Source organism: Homo sapiens, chromosome 13, assembly GCF_000001405.40.
Source record: "Homo sapiens chromosome 13, GRCh38.p14 Primary Assembly".
Lineage (NCBI taxonomy): Eukaryota > Metazoa > Chordata > Mammalia > Primates > Hominidae > Homo > Homo sapiens.
Genome location: NC_000013.11, coordinates 91,260,753 through 91,278,472, shown reverse-complemented (window position 1 = coordinate 91,278,472; position 17,720 = coordinate 91,260,753). Strand labels below are relative to the sequence as shown.

Here is a 17,720-nt window from a genome sequence, read left to right as displayed (position 1 = left end):
TCCTGTGAGGACATCTGGTCATGGGCTAGACATTAGGCAGTCCGTCAGGATAAAGAAGTATCTGGGAAAGGCACACTGAACTTCTATAACCAAATCCCTGGGGTCTTCATCAGGATAGGGCTAGAGTTTATGGCTATTCTCAAGACAGGCACCTCAAGACCAAATTAGGAAGAAATGAAACAAAAATGTTTCATTTGTGTTGATGTTCTCTGGAGGGAATTTTTTGAAAGACTAAACTGCATAAAATAAACACAAATACACGTATATTGTCTTTTATGTTTACCTGTGTATTAGTGTTATTGGTATTCTTTCTTCATGTGAATTAGAGCTAGTCTAATATCCTTTCATTTCAGCCTGAAAACCTTGTTTTTGTATTTCTTATAGGGTTGGTCTGTTAGAGACCAGTTTTTAAAGTTTTTGCTTATCTGAGAATTCCTTAATTTACCCTTTGTCTTTTCAATGTAAATTGCGCTGAACATAACATTCTTCACGGACAGTCTTTTTCTTTTAGCATTTTGAATACAATAGCCCTCTCTTATCCATGGTCTCACTTTTCACAGTTTCAGTTACCTATGGTTAACTGCAGTCTGGAAATATTAAATGGAAAATTGCAGAAATCAACAATTCATAGGTTTTTAATTGCACACCGTTCTGAATAGAATGATGAAATCTTGCACCATCCTGCTCCATCCCACCCAGTACACAAATCATCTTTTTTTTGGAAAGTATCCATGATGTACACAGTACCTGTTCATTAGTCACTTAGTCGCAGTCTCAGTTATCAGATCAACTGTAGTAATAACGCAGTATTTGTGTTTAAATGACCCTCGTTTAACTTAAAATGTTCCTAAAGCAGAAGGGTTGTGATGCTGGCAATTTAGATATGCTAAATAGAAGCCATAAAGTGCCTTCTTTAAGTGAAAAGCTGAAAGTCCTTGACCTGATATGAAAAGAAGAAAAATTGTGTGCTGAGGTTGCTAAGATCTACGGTAAAAACTAATCTACGTATGATATTGTAAAGAAGAAAAGAAGAAATTTATGCTAGTTTTGTTGTTGCATCTCAAACTGCAAAAGTTACAGTGCTTACTTAAGACAGAAAAGGTATTACATTTGTGGTTAGAAGACATGAACAGAAACGTATTCCAATTAACAGCAAGAGAGTTTGGTATTATTTGCAGTTTCAGGCATCCACTGGTGGTCTTGGAATATATCCCCTGTGAATAATGGGAGACTGCTCTGTACAATTCCATAGTCTCCTGGCTTCATGATTTCTGATGGGAACTCATCTGTTAATCTTCTTGAAGATTCTTTGTACATGATGAGTTGCTTCTTTGTTTTTTTGACAGTTTGATTATGATGTGTCTAGATGTGGATCTCTGAGTTTATTCTACTGTGAATTTGTGGAGATACTTCTATTAGGAGGTTAACATTTTTCATTAAATCTGGGAAGTTTTCAGCAATTGTTTCTTCAAATATTCTTTCTTCCCGTTTATCTCTCTCTTTTCCTTCTGGAACTTTCATTATGCATGTGTTTGCAATGCTTGATGGTGTCTAACAGTTCTCTGATGCTCTATTCATCTTTTTAAAAAATTCTTTTTAATTTCTGCTTCTTAGATTGGATAATCTCAATTGACGTATCTTAAAGTCTGCCAATTCTCTCTTGTGTAAGTTGAAATCTGCTGTTGAGAATCTCTAGGAAATTCTAAATTTCAGATATTTTAATGTACTTGTTTATATTCTTATTTCCCTCACCAGAATGTGAGCTATTTAGAGAAAGGACTAGATCATATTTGTTTTCTAGCCCTAACATTGGGCACACAGAACATACTAAGTGCTCCATAGATAGAATTGAATTGATTAATGTAAATCAAGTTTATATATGAATAGTGTATACCATGCAAACACAGTTAGATCCACTAGATTCTCTCAAGAATTCTTTCAGCATTTAGATAAACTATTTTTTTATATAAAACCAGTTCTAGAATAAATAGAAAGATCAGAAATTTCTTGATTTATCCTGTATGATAGCATAGCATTGTGGTCAGAGTGCCAGCTTCTGAATGAGACAGACTGGGTTCACATTCTTTCTCTGCCACTTACTGACTGTGTAGCCTAGGGAAAGTGGCCACCTATAGGCTCAAATTTCACTTTCTGTAAAACAAAGAGTTGCTATAAGCATGAAGTGACATATAGATGGATACAAAATAATTGGCACAGTTTTAGACACATAGAATACATTCAGTAAATTATATCATCAATAAAATGACCAATATTCCATGCTAAAGAACACCATACATCAATCTCATCAATGTATAGAGACATAACATTTTTCAATAAAATGCTATTTCATATGATTAATCATAAGTATAAAAATATTTCCTTATGACTAGATAAACTTTTTCCTGAACTCAAGAATGTGTCAACATATGGGATTCTAATAATAGACTGAATTTCTTTGCCTAAGATCTATGGTAAAAACTAATCTACCTATGATATTGTAAAGAAGAAAAGAAGAAATGTATGCTAGTTTTTTTGTTGCGTCTCAAACTGCAAAAGTTACAGTGCTTAGTTAAGACAGAAAAGGTATTAAATTTGTTGGCAGAAGACATAAACAGAAATGTATTCCAATTGCCAGCAACAGGTCAATCTTTCCTTTATAATTGATAGGATGTTGATAGCACTACCAGATTTCTTTTCTTAAATTATTATATGTATTGCTTTGTTAATCTATAAGGTTTTTCTCTAGTGGATTTACATTATATATAGAATCAAATACTTATTTCAAGCCCCACCTTCATATTTTGCTTCTCCACATTTATTTTTTATTTTTTTTAAATTTTTTCTCCTGACATTTCCCCATGCTAACTTTGGACTAGAAATAAAGTGGATCATCTCTCTTTTCAAATGTCTTCTGCTTTTCTGCCTCTTTCTGTGTGTTCATTTCATACCTTCTCCCAAAACAGTAACTTGAATCTTTTCCTCAGGTTTAGTTAAAGTGTGCATATATTCACATAATAATCATGTCTTTTCTGAATTTTCCTATATATTTTTGTGTTTATTATTAGGTGAATGCTATTATTACCTAAAATATCTTTATTGTCCTTTTCTACAACTAGATTACAGTCTTCTATAATAGAAAAGTCTAGTTACTTTTGTAGACTCCATTAGCAATGCTTATGATTACTGAGAAAATATTTGGTGATTTCGAAACCAACTTTACACATCACGCTTTGTAAAAATTCAGTTTTAGCTACTCATTTTTTTCCAGTTGTGAAGAAACAATTTCATGTCACTTTTTAGAACATTTAATGTGCTCCGATCAAATGCATCTGTTTAAAATTTTGTTTTTATATACACACAAAAGTTTAAACTATATGATCTTTTACAAGTTGAGTTTACCAAGGAGTAGATATGTCTATTCCACTGTGCGATGGTTGCCATAGAAATGAATAAATGAGGATGTTATTAATTTCGTGATTTTAGGGCGGAGGAATACAGTTTAGAGTGAGAATACTCTGTATGTGAAATAAATATAGACTAGCAATTGCTGCAGAGAAAACTCAATAGGGGCAAAAACAGTTGCTGATTTTCTGTGGTGTTTATTTGTTTGTTTATTTATTTATTTACTGAGACAGAGTCTCGCTCTGTTGCCCAGGCTGGAGTGCAGTGGCGCAATCTCGGCTCACTGCAACCTCCGCCTCCTGGGTTCAAGCGATTCTCCTATCTCAGCCTCCCTAGTAGCTGGGATTACAGGTGCATACCACTACGCCCAGCTAATTTTTGTATTTTTAGTAGAGATGTGGTTTCACCATATTGGTCAGGCTGTTTTCAAACTCCTGACCTCGTGATCTGCCCACCTCAACCTCCCAAAGTGCTGGGATGACAGGCGTGAGCCACCGTGCCCGACTGTGGTGTTTATTTTTTGCCCAGTATAAGCAGGCTGGAGACAACGGACTGTTGAGGAGATCTCTGGTTTTCGGTATCTACCTAACATCCTTCTGGGGCAGCTGTTTTGTGTTTTGTTTTTGTTTTTGTAATGAATAGAACCGGGAAAGACAAATAAAATGAGAAAATGTAGCCTATCTTTTTTTAGCAAAGGAAAAACCAAATGTTTTTGTAGTCACATAATAGCAGACTTTTGTTTGTGACCTGACAACAGAGAGAGGAGGAAAAACTGTTCTGTTCTTAGCAAAGGATAGAACAGGAATTTGATAAAGCCTGACTAATAATTGAAGATAAATAAAGTGAGTGCCTAGTGTTACCTTTAGTTTCCTTTTTAACCTCTTCAAAATATGCTTCATTCATGAATGGCTATGCTTCTCTGATAGCATAAATAATTATTTAAGGTAGACATATATCATTGTGACTTGTTTTCCAATTACCTTGTGTTATAGAAATGTGGATGTTGAATCATGAAAATTTTAGAAGCTACCACTTATTGTGTGACAGTCCCCAACTTATGGTTCAAGTTATGATTTTTTTCAACTTTAAGATGGTACAAAAGTGATATGCATTACACAGAAACAGTGCTTTGAGTATTGATGTTTTCCCATGCCAGCAGTATGTGGTGCAATACTCTTGTGATGCTGGGCAACAACAGCTGTCAATCAGCCACGGGATCCCAAGGTTAAACAACCAATATGCTACGTTGCCCCATGTTGCAAGATGATTTTGTCCAACTCTAGGCTAAGGTAAGTGTTCTGAGCACGTTTAAGGTAGGTTGGGCTAAGGTATGATGTTTGGTAGGTTAGGTGTATTAAATACTTTTTTTTTTTTTTGAGATGGAGTCTCACTCTGTTGCCCAGGCTGGAGTGCAGTGGTGCGATCTTGGCTCACTGCAACCTCTGCCTCCCAGGTTCAAGTGATTCTCCTGCCTCAGCCTCCAGAGTAGCTGGGATTACAGGCACTCTCCACCAGGTCTGGCTAATTTTTTGTATTTTTAGTAGAGATGGGGTTTCACCATTTTGACCAGGCTGGTCTTGAACTCCTGAGCTCAGTGATCCACCCGCCTCGGCTTCCCAAAGTGCTGGGATTACAGGCGCAAGCCACCGTGCCCGGCCTTAAATGCATTTTTGACTTAGGATATGTTCAACTTATGATAGATTTATCAGGATTTAACCTTATCAGAAGTTGAGCAGGTTCTGCATTTTAAACAAGGGCAAAAGAACTGAAAGGTAAGCAGCTTCTAGAATATTGAACTTGTAAGTCTTTATCTATTCAGTCATAATGTCAACATTCAGCAACACTGACAGGAAAGCTATCTCATATTTAATTGGAATCCTTATATTTCAAACTCTATTCCTCAGTTCTTGGTGCTGGTAAAGAATGCATCCTTTATCAGAGCTAGATTTACCAATGGAGTCTAGCTTCTCAGCTTCTCACTTGCAGGGGTCCCTTACAGGGCCTTGGGAGGGATCCCAGCATTGTGTTGCATGGACGTATATTTTCATAACATTTGCAAAATTAAGATATTTTAATTGTGCTTAGTTGGATTACTGTCACTCATCCATACTTACTGTTATCATGCTTTCTCTTGGTGCTAGATAGCAGGAGAATGGTCATGGGCATTTGCGGATCAGCTAAAGGGAAGTCTAATGTTGAATACGTGTATTTTGGTGTGGTGGACATATTTTTGTAGTTCACAGACTCACTTCTATGTGTAGTTCAGTTGTTGCTAGTTATCCCATGACAGGAATTGTTTCCAGGAGTATTACTACTTGGTACCCACTGGTGACTTACATAGTGTCATGAAATAAAGATGTAGGACCAGACATTTTAAAATCAAATGAGCTTGTCCTGTGACACTTGCCACTGGACCTACATGGGAAGTGGGAACAAATAAGGGTTAAAGGCTTTGCAGATGCCACCGCCGCTGTGAGCCCTGTACTATCAGCCATGGTCAACCCCACTGTGTTCTTCGACTTCACTGTCAACAGCGAGCCCTTGGGCCGCATCTCCTTCGAGCTGTTTGTGGACAAGTTTCCAAAGACAGCAGAAAACTTTCATGCTGTGAGCACTAGAGAGAAAGGATTTGGTTATAAGGGTCCCTGCTTTCACAGAATTAATCCAGGGTTTATGTGTCGGGGTGGTGACTTCTCATGCATAATGGCACTTGTGGCAAGTCCATCTACGGGGAGAAATTTGATGACGAGAACTTCATCCTAAAGCATACAGGTCCTGGCATCTTGTCCATGGCAAATGCTGGGCCCAAAACAAATGGTTCCCAGTTTGTCATCTGCACTGCCAAGACTGAGTGGTTGGATGGCAAGCATGTGGTCTCTGGCAGGGTGAAAGAAGGCATGAATATTGTGGAGGCCCTGGAGCACTTTGGGTCCAGGAATGGCAAGACCAGCAAGAAGGTCACCATTGCTGACAGTGGACAACTCAAATAAATTTGACCTGTATTTTATCTTAACCACCAGACCATTCCTTCTGTAGCTCAGGAGAACAGTCCTCCACCCCATTTGCTTGCAGAATCCTAGAATCTTTGCCCTGTCTCTGCAGTTCCCTTTGGGTTCCATGTTTTCCTTGTTCCCTTCCATGCCTACCTGGATTGCAAAGTTAAATTTATGATTATGGAATAAAAACTAAATAACAAAAAAAATGAGTGTTGAAATGTTCAGATCTAGAAGCTGATCTATGGAAGATTTTTCTATTTGTCAGACATGTAAAATTATAGGCAGAGAATTGGTTCTCATCAACACCTAATCCAATACCTAATCAAAATGGAAAATCTCCCTTATTAGGAATATTTGATAATGTAGCATATACAATGATCAGTGTATCATATATTTTTTCATTTTTGGGGGAATTATACAATGGAGAATTGATCAGAATGTGTTTTTATAGGGCACAAACCTATGGGTACTAAAAAAAGCACATGTCTGTATGAAGTTATATTTTTGTGCATCCTAACTTCATTTTTAAAAAATTCAATTGACCATCCTAGAAGGCAGATTGAATTATCTCTCTATTTTTTCTCTATAAAGTTACATAGAACCATTGTCATATGATGAGGCAAAATATGGAACATATAAAGGTACACTACACAGTCAATAAAAATATTTTTTGAATGTCTGATGTTTGTGATAGTTGTCAGTTTTTTAAAATTTTGCAGTTTATTGTGATTTCATTTTTCATTCTGAAAATATTGTTCTCCTGAGTAACTAATTTGTTATTCTTTTCTTTATGTATCCCCCCAAATTATATGTTTAATGTCTCAGAACATTTATATTTGCCCTTCTGCACTATGTAATGATATTTAAAGCATCTTATCAATTTAGTTAAAAAATTGAGTGAGACACTGAAACCATTTTTTGAAACTATATAGAAACAGCTTAAAAATTTTCACATTGTATGCTCATTTCATATGCTCATTCCTTTTTTTCTAAGAACAACAATCTTAGTTTTAAAAATATTTCTTTGTGTGTTATATTCTGAATACCATTGCTGTCCAATAGAACTTTCTGTGATGATGGAAATGTTCTATATCTAGACTGTATAATATGATAGCCACTAACCATATGTGACTGTTAAGCACTTGAAATGTAGCTGGTGAGTCTGAGGAATTAAGATAATAACTTTATTTAATTTACATTTACACAGCCAAGTGTTTGGCTATGTAACAGAGTTTATACCTTTAATCAACTTGGGGATTAATCCTTCATCTCCTATCCACATTTCTATCTAGTCATTGAGTATAGGATTCTATGTCTCTATGAAGTAAAATCCTAACTCATAACTAATATAACATGTATTATTCAGAAGATTGTGTTTTATTTTTCAATATTTCTCAAATCAAATATTCTTGTATTCTGATTATGTTGTAGACATTTTTATAGACAGGTCTTATTTATTTTGTTTATAGTTTGCAGATACTGGAAAGCTTAACACAGTTTTGTGGAAATTCCCCATTAAAACATGCTTTTCAACATGGTAAAATCAATCAACTCAAAGATGCTTTATTTGGGGAAAACGATGCATGGAATCCAATCAATAATGACATTCCGTTTGCCTAAAAGTTGTGCTTACTAAACTGAGCTTGGCAAAAGTTTGACACGTTCAATAAATGGAGACTTTGTGCTATATCAGAATTAACAGCTCTTAGCCGGATATTTCATATATTCTACAAATATAGAGTGATAGACAAGGCAGATGCAGCCATGACCTGCCCCCTGGAAGATGACTGTTTATACCCAAGAACAATTCCTGGAATGTAACAGGAAACTGCACATGACCATATATCTAAGCTGGGTATTTCTCTGGCTTCCTGTTAGAGAAATGACGGATTTTCACTCCCCTCCAGGCACAGAAGAAAATCACTCTGAAAACCATACAGAAGAAAATATGTATTTAAAACAAATGTGACTTCCCAATATCTGATTCTTAATAGAATAATCTCCAGATAGCTATTGAAACAGTAGGAGTTGGAAATCTAAACAAAAGCTTCAGAAGAATCAAGAGCAGTCTAGAGTTTCAGTATAATGCAAAATTATTCTGAAATTCAGTAGTAGTACTAAACAATCTCTCAATCTTTAGGCCCACAAAAATTTACAGAAGTTTGCAAATTTGAGTCAAGACATTTTTCCTTGTTACTTCTTCTCTATTTACATAATATGCCTATGTTTTAGTCTACTGTTTTCATGCTAATGATTGAAAAATCACAATTATTCTATTAATACCCTGTATGCATATGTAATGTTAAGTATTGGGTTAAAACTAAAATGGTTAGGCAAACATCAACATATTTTCGTTTTAGTTAATTGTGTCCTTGAGGCAAGTGGGTGATGAGGCATTTTTTTCAATTTTCTCTTAGAATGAACCCTAGTGCTGGGTGCACACAAATTCAGTTTGCTTATAAAAAGGAATGCTTATAAAAACCCAGAGTAATAAAAGATTTTTTAGAGGCTCCATTTTCTTTATATTTTGATATTTAGGTTCTCAGCATGTAAGCATTTGCTAATTTTTTGAGCAGGGTTCACAGTTTATGTAGAGATATAATTACTTTCTAAAACTTACGTGTCCATATAAGAAAAATCCTGACTTAGCATTTATTTAATGGATTTAAAGGCTTAAAAACATTGGGACCCCTTTCCAATATAATTAAATAATAACAAATTTTGAAAGAAGAAATGAATATTTGTCAAGCTGAGGAAGATAAAGCCACCTAGGATTACAATGTACACTTTAGCAGTGGAGTCATAGTTTTACATAAAGCTGAGAGTTAATTAATGGACCATGAAAAAGTAAGGTTAAAAAAAAAAACAGAGAAAACACTATGAGAAAACCTCAGGAATGAGAGTGTTTATAACGTTCTTTTACGTGATATTTCAAAGTTATTAAAAAAGTTATAAGGAAATATTATGAGCCACTTTATGCCAATGGACTCAACAAAACAGATAAAGTGAGTAAGTTCCTAGAAAGGTAAAAATTACCACAGTTCACTCAAAAATAAATTGATACACAAGTAGCCCTGCCTTCACTATAGAATTGAACTTTTAGTTACCAGCCTTTCTGTAAATATAGTTCCAGGCCCATAGAGCTTCACTGGTAAATCCTTGAAAACATTTAGAGAGGAAATGCCATCTACACACAGGCTCTTTCAGAACATTGAAGAGAACTGAAGAGAAGAAACACTATCTTTAGCTTTTTAGGCAGTTATGCAAACATCTTGTAGCACCCTTTCTTCAGATGGCCTGGACCGTAAAAATATTCTTGGAGAATTGTCTCCCAAAATATATTAGTAATGGAGACTTGGAAATTAAAATTAAAAAAATTATTTTCATAATCGCAATACAAGTTGTTTATGTTTAAGGATAAACCTGAAAAAGGTGTGCAAGATCTGTACACTGAAAACTACAAAACATTATTGAGATTATTCTAAAATATTTAATAAATGAAGACATATGCCATATTAATGGATTGGAAAACTCAAGTATTATTAATATATCAGTTCTCCCTAAATTGTTCTATAGATTCAACATTGTCCCACTTGAAGTCCTGGAGGCTTTTTTGTAGAAGTTGTTAACCTGATTCTTAAATTTATACGAAAATGTAGAGAACTAAACTCTTTGAAAAAGAACAAAGTTGGATGGCTGAAATTACCTGTCTTCAAGACTTAAAAACGATAGTAATCAAGACAGTGTAGTATTGGAGTAAAGATAGACAAATTGAATCATAATACAGAATAGCGTCCAGAAATACACTCACACATATTATCAACTGATTCTTGAAAAAGTTTAGAAAGGATAGTCTTTTCAAAAATTAATACTGAAACACATGGATATTCCATAGGTAAAAAATAAGAAAGTTAAGTATAATCTTACCTCATACAATTTCAAAATTTAACTCAAAATTTATCATTGACTTAAATATAAGTTCTAAAACTATAAAACTTTTAGAAGGAAGCACAGGAGGAAATTATCGTACTCTTGACGGAGAGAGTTTTTAGCTGTGATATGAAAGCACGATTCATAAAACAAAAATGTGATAAATCGGACTTCACCAAGATTAAGATCTTCTCCGCTTCCAAAAACATGGTAAAAGAATGAAAAGATAAGCCTCAAACTGGAAGAAAATATCTGCAAATCGTATGTCTAATAAAGATATGGATCCAGAATATTTAATGAATTCTCAAAATTCAGTTGGAAAACAAGCAAAAAAGCCCCGATTTTATGGGCAAGAGATTTGAACAGACACTTCACTAAAGAGGGCATATGGCTCTGTACAATATGAGGACACAGGTAGAAGACATCTTTTATGAGCCAGGAAGACGGCCCTCACCAGACACTGAATCTGCTTGGAAATTGGACTTTCCGGTCTCCTAAACCGTGGCTTACTAGAGACGTTGTATACCAGTTGTCAGAAAGAAGGTCTAAAGTTACGGGAGAATGATCATGGCCTGAGTGGAGTGCTGAGGGAAAGGAGTTGGAACCCGTCAGAGAACTCACAGGAAGAAGCTGAGGTGCAGAAAAGCAAAGCAGCAAGAGTCTGGCAAAGATTAATCCCTGAGGAAATTGGAGTCCCATGGAAAGGGTAGATGGGGGTGTATGTTTATTCCCACATCCCAGCGGTAAACTGCTGACTGCTGAATTGTCAGAGAACCCCTCTGTCCCTGAGAGGCACTGCTGTGAGTGGCAGTTTGTGAACTTCTGGAAAGCAGATCACAGGGCAGCCATCTTGCACAAGTTTGCTGGCTCTTCCTTCAAATGCAAGGTGAGGTGACCAGTGCCATATTGCTGTGCAAACATTGTGGACCACTATCCTGCCAAGGAAATCTCAGCTTATGTTTCTCTGCATCACTAGATCCCCCACAAACACTTCTCAGAACCCACTCTGTGGCAGCCACAAGGGACTGGCAGCACCCTGGGGAGCTGTGGAATCCCCGGAGATCTAGCTCTCAGCATGGGCTTCTCCTAGAGGAAGGGGAATTGCAGTCCACTAAAAGACCTCTTGAAACAAAGGAAACCAGATTGTCTGCTTTTCCCTGCATGAGAGCCCTCCTGCTTGTGACCAGACAGTGACTGGACCCCTCCCAATGGAGACATGGGTGTGGTGCTAGTCTCTGAAGCCGAGAAGGTTTGTTCTGCCTCAGCAGCAAGCAGCACCATTGGCCAGGAATTAACATGGAGAGGAAGTCTTCTCCTGCTCCCCCTGTCCACTGTTATGGACACAACTGTGACCTCTCCTACTGGGAGCTGGCATGGGTGGACTTGGAGAAAGTCCTTCCAGTGCCATGCAGGGTGATGTACCCCCACTGAAAGTGAGCCCACTGGCCCAGGCTTGCACAAAGGGAAGGATTCATCTCTCCCTTTCTATGCAGAGTGGCAGTGTTCCTGCAGTGGCATGTAGACCAGCTGAGGGCTGTCTGTTTTGGGCTGAGGAAAGAGGTTCCACCCTGAAGCCATTTCAGTGGTAGTTGTGGGATACGCATTTTTCACAGACCTCAGTTGCACTGTGGCCTGGAAGTAAAAGACAGTACTTATGTGAACTGAAGGTTGTAAGCCCTGGGATGGGGTCTGATAGGGAAGTGGATCATGTTTCTTCCTGGCAGGATGAGAAACTGATGCAGCCCCCTCTTGCACACCCCCTACAAAGATGTCAGAGCATCCCACCAGGAGGTATCCCCCCAATCCCTGTCAAGACAAGTGATTTCATTCATTATTGGGGTATCCGAGGAAGAGTCAGCTCTTACTTGTAAGTGCCACGTACTGGGCTGGAGACTGAAATGCACAACCAAAAGAAAAACCTACTGACACAAGGGCATAGTGCTAAGGAACTAGATAAGCTTGCTGAGACATCTGCAGCCCTGTGGAAGACAGTTAGTTGGCTTATACACTCCATACATTGTTACAACAACCAGAATTTGAGAAAACCACTTATGCAAAAGTCATCTACAACCAAGGAACTCATAGGGAGTCTTGGTCCCCTGAAAGTGCCCAGTCTTGAAGCCAAATGATGACACACAACATACATTACAGTTATAACCTCAAGGGAGAGGATAATACAAATTTAAAAATCCAATCCAAATGAAAGCAAATTCAAATATAAGAAGTGACAGCTTCTTCAAATAAGAAGGAATCATTGTAAAAACTCTAGCAGTACAAAAAGACAGTGTGTCCTGTGAACTTTGAAAGGAGAGAGGGTGAGAGAGGAGTTAGGGTTGAAAAATTACCTCTTGGATACATGTTTAATATTTGGGTGATGGGTGCACTAGAAGCTCAATCTCCACTATTAAGCATGTACTATCCATGTAACAAACAAGCACATGTATCCCTGAATCTAAAATTAAAAAAAAAGACAGAGTGTTTAGACGCCCCAAAGAATCACACTAGATCTCTAGCAATGGATCATAAGCAAAATGAAAACTCTGAAATGACAGATAAATAATTCAAAATACAGATCATAAAGAAGCTCAATGATATCCAAGACAAAGTTGAAAATCAAAACAAAGAAATTGTGAAAACAGGATAGGAATGAAAAATTTGCTAAAGAGATAGATACATAAAAAAACAGGACTTATGGAAAAGAAAAATTTATTGGAAGAATTATAAAATATAGTAGAAAATTTAACAACAGAGTAGACCACGTGTAGGAAAGAATTTTAGAGTTTGAAGACCCATTATTTGAATTAACCCCGTCAGACAAAAATAAAGAGAAATGAATTTTAAAAATGAAAAAGCCTTCAAGAAATATGGGATTATGTAAAGTGACCAAAACTATAACTTATAAGCATTCCTAGGGAGAAGAAGTAAAAAATAGAAAATTTGGAAGATGTATTTGACAAAATGATCAAGAAAACTTCCCAGTTCTAGATAAATAATTAGATATCCAGATACGGGAACTTCAAAGAACATTTGGAATAATCTCTGCAAGACAAGGCTCATCAAAGCATATGTTCGTGAGGCTATCCAAAATTGACATGAAGGAATACATCCTAAAAGCAGCTGGAGAGAAGCATCAAAGCACCTATAAAGGAAATCCCATTAGACTAACAGTTGACTTCTCAGCAGAAACCTTAAAAGCCAGAAAGGACTGGGGTCCTATTGTCAGCCTCTTTGAAGAAAACAATGCCAGCCAAGAATTTCATATCCTGCTAAACTAAGCTTCATCAATGAGGGAGAAATGAAATCTTTCTCAGATAAGCAAATGCTAATGGAATTTATTACCAGTACACTGGCTCTCCAAGAAATGCTCAAATGAATTCTAAACATAAAAATGAAGGGAAAGGATGTACTCAGGATTATAAAAGCACACATAAGTACAAAGGTCACACCCTACAAAGAAATTACACAATCAAGATTACAAAGCAACTAGGTAACAACATTATGACAGGAACAAAACCTCACATATCAATATTAGCCTTGAACGTAAATGGCCTAAATGCTCCAGTTAATAGGTATAGACTGGAAAATTGGATAGAACAAAACACAACAAGATTCAACCATTTGCTGCCGACAAGAGACCCACCTAACAGATAAATACACACACAGACTCAAAATAAAGGGGTGAAAAAGATATACCAGACAAACATAAGACAAAAACAAGCAGGAGTAGCTATACTTATATCACATTGAACAGACCTTAAATCAATGAAAGTTAAAAAGATAAGATTATTATATAATGTTAAAGGGTTCAATTCAACATGAAGATATAACCATTATAAATTTATATGTACCCAACAGCAGTCCACCCAGCTTCATGAAACAAATCCTCCTAGACCTAAGTAAAGAGACAGAGAGCAGTTCAATAATACTGAAGTCTTCAAAACACCACTGAGAGCACTAGGCAGATCACTAAGGCAGAAAATCCACAAAGAAACTCTGGACTTAAACTGGTTGCCAGACCAAAAGGACCTAATAGACATTTACAGAATATTCCACAAAACAATTGTAGAGTAAACATTTTTCTCATCTGGGCATGGAACATTCTTGAAAATAAACCATATGCTTGGCCATAAAGAAAATCTCAATAAGTTTTTTAAAAACCTGAAATCACGTTGCATATCTTTTCAGACTACAGTGGAATAAAATTAGAAATCAATACCACCAGAAACTCTGAAAGCTATAGAAACACTTGGAGACCAAACAACTTGCTCCTGAATGATCTTCAGGTAAATGATGAAATTAAAGCAGAAATCAAAAAAATTTTTGAAACGAATAAAAATAGAGACACAACATAGCAAAACCTCTAAGATATAGCAAAAACAGTGCTAAGAGGAAAGTTTATAGCAAAATATCTACATAAAAAAGATAGAAAAAAATTAAGTTAACAACCTAATGTCATACTTCAAGGAGCTAGACAAAGAAGAAAAGAAATAAAAAAGATCGGAGCAGGACTGAGATTGAGACAAAAAAATACAAAGGATCAATGAAATAAAAAGTTGTTTCTTTGAAAAGATAAAGAAAATCAATAGACTGCTAGCTCTACTAACCAAGAAAAAAGAGAGAAGATTCAAATAATATTCAACATCGTACTGGAAATCCTAACCAGAGCAACCAGGCAAGGGAAAGAAATAAAACAAAAACAAAAACAAAAACCAAACAAAAAACATCCAAATTGGAAAAGAGGAAGTCAAATTATCTCTGTTCACTGATGACATGATCTTATACCTGGAAAACACTAAACACCCCTCCAAATGACTCCTAGACTTGATAAATGACTTCAGTCAAGTTTCAGGTTACAAACTTAATGTACAAAAATCAGTAGCATTTCTACACATCAATAACGTTCAATCTCAGAAGCAAATCAAGAACTCAGTCTCATTTATAGTAACCACAAAAAATTAAATAAAATACTTTGGAGTACAGCTAACCAAAGAGGTAAAAGATCTCTACAAGGAGAATTACAGAACACCAATAAAAGAAATAGTAGATAACACAAATGGAAAAACATCTCATGCTCATGGATTGAAAGAATCAATGTCATTAAAATGGTCACATATTCTAAAGCAATGTAAGACTCAGTGCAATTCCTATCTAATTACCAATATCACTTGCCACAGAATTAGAAAAAATAATCCTAAAATTCGTATGGAACCAAAAAAGAGCCCAGATAGTCCAAACAATCCTAAGCAAAAATAACAAAGGTGGAGGCATCACATTACCTGATTTCAAATTATGCTACAAGACTATTGTAACCAAAACAGCATAGCACTGACACAAAAGTAGACATATAGATAAGTGGAACAAAATAGAGAACCTACAATAAAATGATCTTTGATAAAGCCAAAAAAAAAAAAAAAAAACACAATGGGGAAAGGACACCCGGTGAAAATTGGCATATGCGGAAGAAAAAAAACTGGATCCATATTTCTCACCATATACAAAAATTAACTCAAGATGGATTAAAGCCTTAAATGTAAGACATGAAAATACAAAAACCCTGAAAGAAATCCTAAGAAAAACTCTTAAGACATTGGACTAAGCAAAAAATTTAAGACTAAGACCTCAAAAGCAAATGCAACAAAACCAAAAATAGATAAGTGGGAGTGAACTAAACTAAAAGGCTTCTGCAGAGCAAAAGAGATAATCAACAGAGTAAACAGACAACCTACAGAATGGGAGAAAATATTTTCAAACTGTGCATTGAACAAAGGACTTATATCCAAGGTTGACAAGAAACTCAAACAACTCAACAAGAAAAAACGCGATCCCATGAAAAAGTGGGCAAATGACATGAACAGATAAGCACATAACTAGATGCTCAACATCATTATTCGTTAGGAAAATACAACATAAATATACAATGTACTATTTCTGCAAACCCATTACAATACCTAAAATTAAAAGGAATGACCTTATCAAGTGTTGGTAAAAAGATGGAGAAACTGTAAACCTTACACATTGCTTATGGGATGTAAAATGGTGAAACCACTTTGGAAAACCATTTTGGCAATTTCTTAAACAGTTATAGATATACCTGTATATAACCAAGCCATTTAAATTCTAGATATTTCTGTAAGAAAAATGCAAGCCTCAATGACTTGTGCATTAGTGTTCATAGTAGTCTTATTTGTAACAGTGAAAGCCAGGAAACAACTCCAATGTCCATCAACCAGTGAATGTATAAACAACTGTGGTTTACACAATAAAATACTACTCAGCACTAAAAAGGAATACATGCCTCAATGCAGATAAATCTCATATAATTATGCTGTCCAGCAAATACTGGATAAATACAAAAGGTATCTCAAAGAAGCAAATGATCAATTTTGAAAAGTGTGATAATAGAAACCAGGAGTTGTTGGGGGAGCAAATCAGATGATGTTACTTTGCTGTCTCTGCGAATGGTATCAGTCTTTATTCATTTGCTGAAGTAAAATACGTGGACATCCTCTTAGACTTATTTTATCCCTTGCTCTTTCACCCAATTAGTTATAGTTGCTTTTCTCTCCTATATTAGATATTTTCGAAATGTATCTTATTTCTGTCTTGTTTTCTCTGATTCATCATCCACTACTTTGGTCAGCTCTTAATTATTTCCTACCTACAAGTACTTTGTAACCATTCTCTCTACTTCCAGTCTTCTTTTACAATCAATCTTCATGCAACGAAGGGAAGCAGTTACCTGAGGGCAGGGTACCAAGCACCTACCACAAGTAGAAAAGAGAAAGTTCTAGCTATAGGAGGCCAGGTGACAAGAGCTGTAGGCTTTGATAGAGACCATGGTTCAGCACAGCCATTGCTGAACCATTGCCTGGAGGGAAATGGGGAACAAACACTGACTTCACCTTCCTCTCACTCTTCAGTCTCCTGCCATTGTCCTTCATTGGACAAACCAAAACTGGAAGCCAGGGAGACCAGTTGATGGAGTCCACAAAGGTCAGCCTTCCCGGGCACAAAGCAGGGTGGAAAAGACATAGAGTGGATTTGGAGAGGCAAACAGAGGCTGTATCAGTTCATCCTTCTAAAACATAACCCTGATGGTATCATTCCCCTTATGAAAATAGCCTTGTGCATGTTTCGGAGCAGGAGCAGATCTTTGACCCTTCCTTCAAACTTGAAGGGTAATACCTTGTTGTTATCATTAATATTTATTTGTAAGAAAAATTATGTGCTGAACTAAATTAATGATAACTATAATTTATTAAGTGACTACTATGTGACAGGCACACTCTTAAGTATTTTATGTATATTGTCTCATTTAATCCTCTCAATATCTCGGTGAAAGAGTTGTTACTTTCATTATTTTACTGTTAAGGAAGCTTGTCTGGCTTTACC

At 36.2% G+C, this 17,720-nt stretch overlaps 1 long non-coding RNA gene and 1 pseudogene across 1 annotated transcript in view; one reads left to right on the top strand and one right to left on the bottom strand.

Annotated features, from left to right (window-relative positions):
* The window catches only part of LOC105370314 (uncharacterized), a 29,410-nt gene that overhangs the window by 2,630 nt on the left and 9,060 nt on the right, over positions 1–17,720 (bottom strand). The gene's annotated exons all lie outside the window — the stretch shown is intronic.
* Positions 5,854–6,590, top strand: PPIAP23 (peptidylprolyl isomerase A pseudogene 23; annotated as a pseudogene).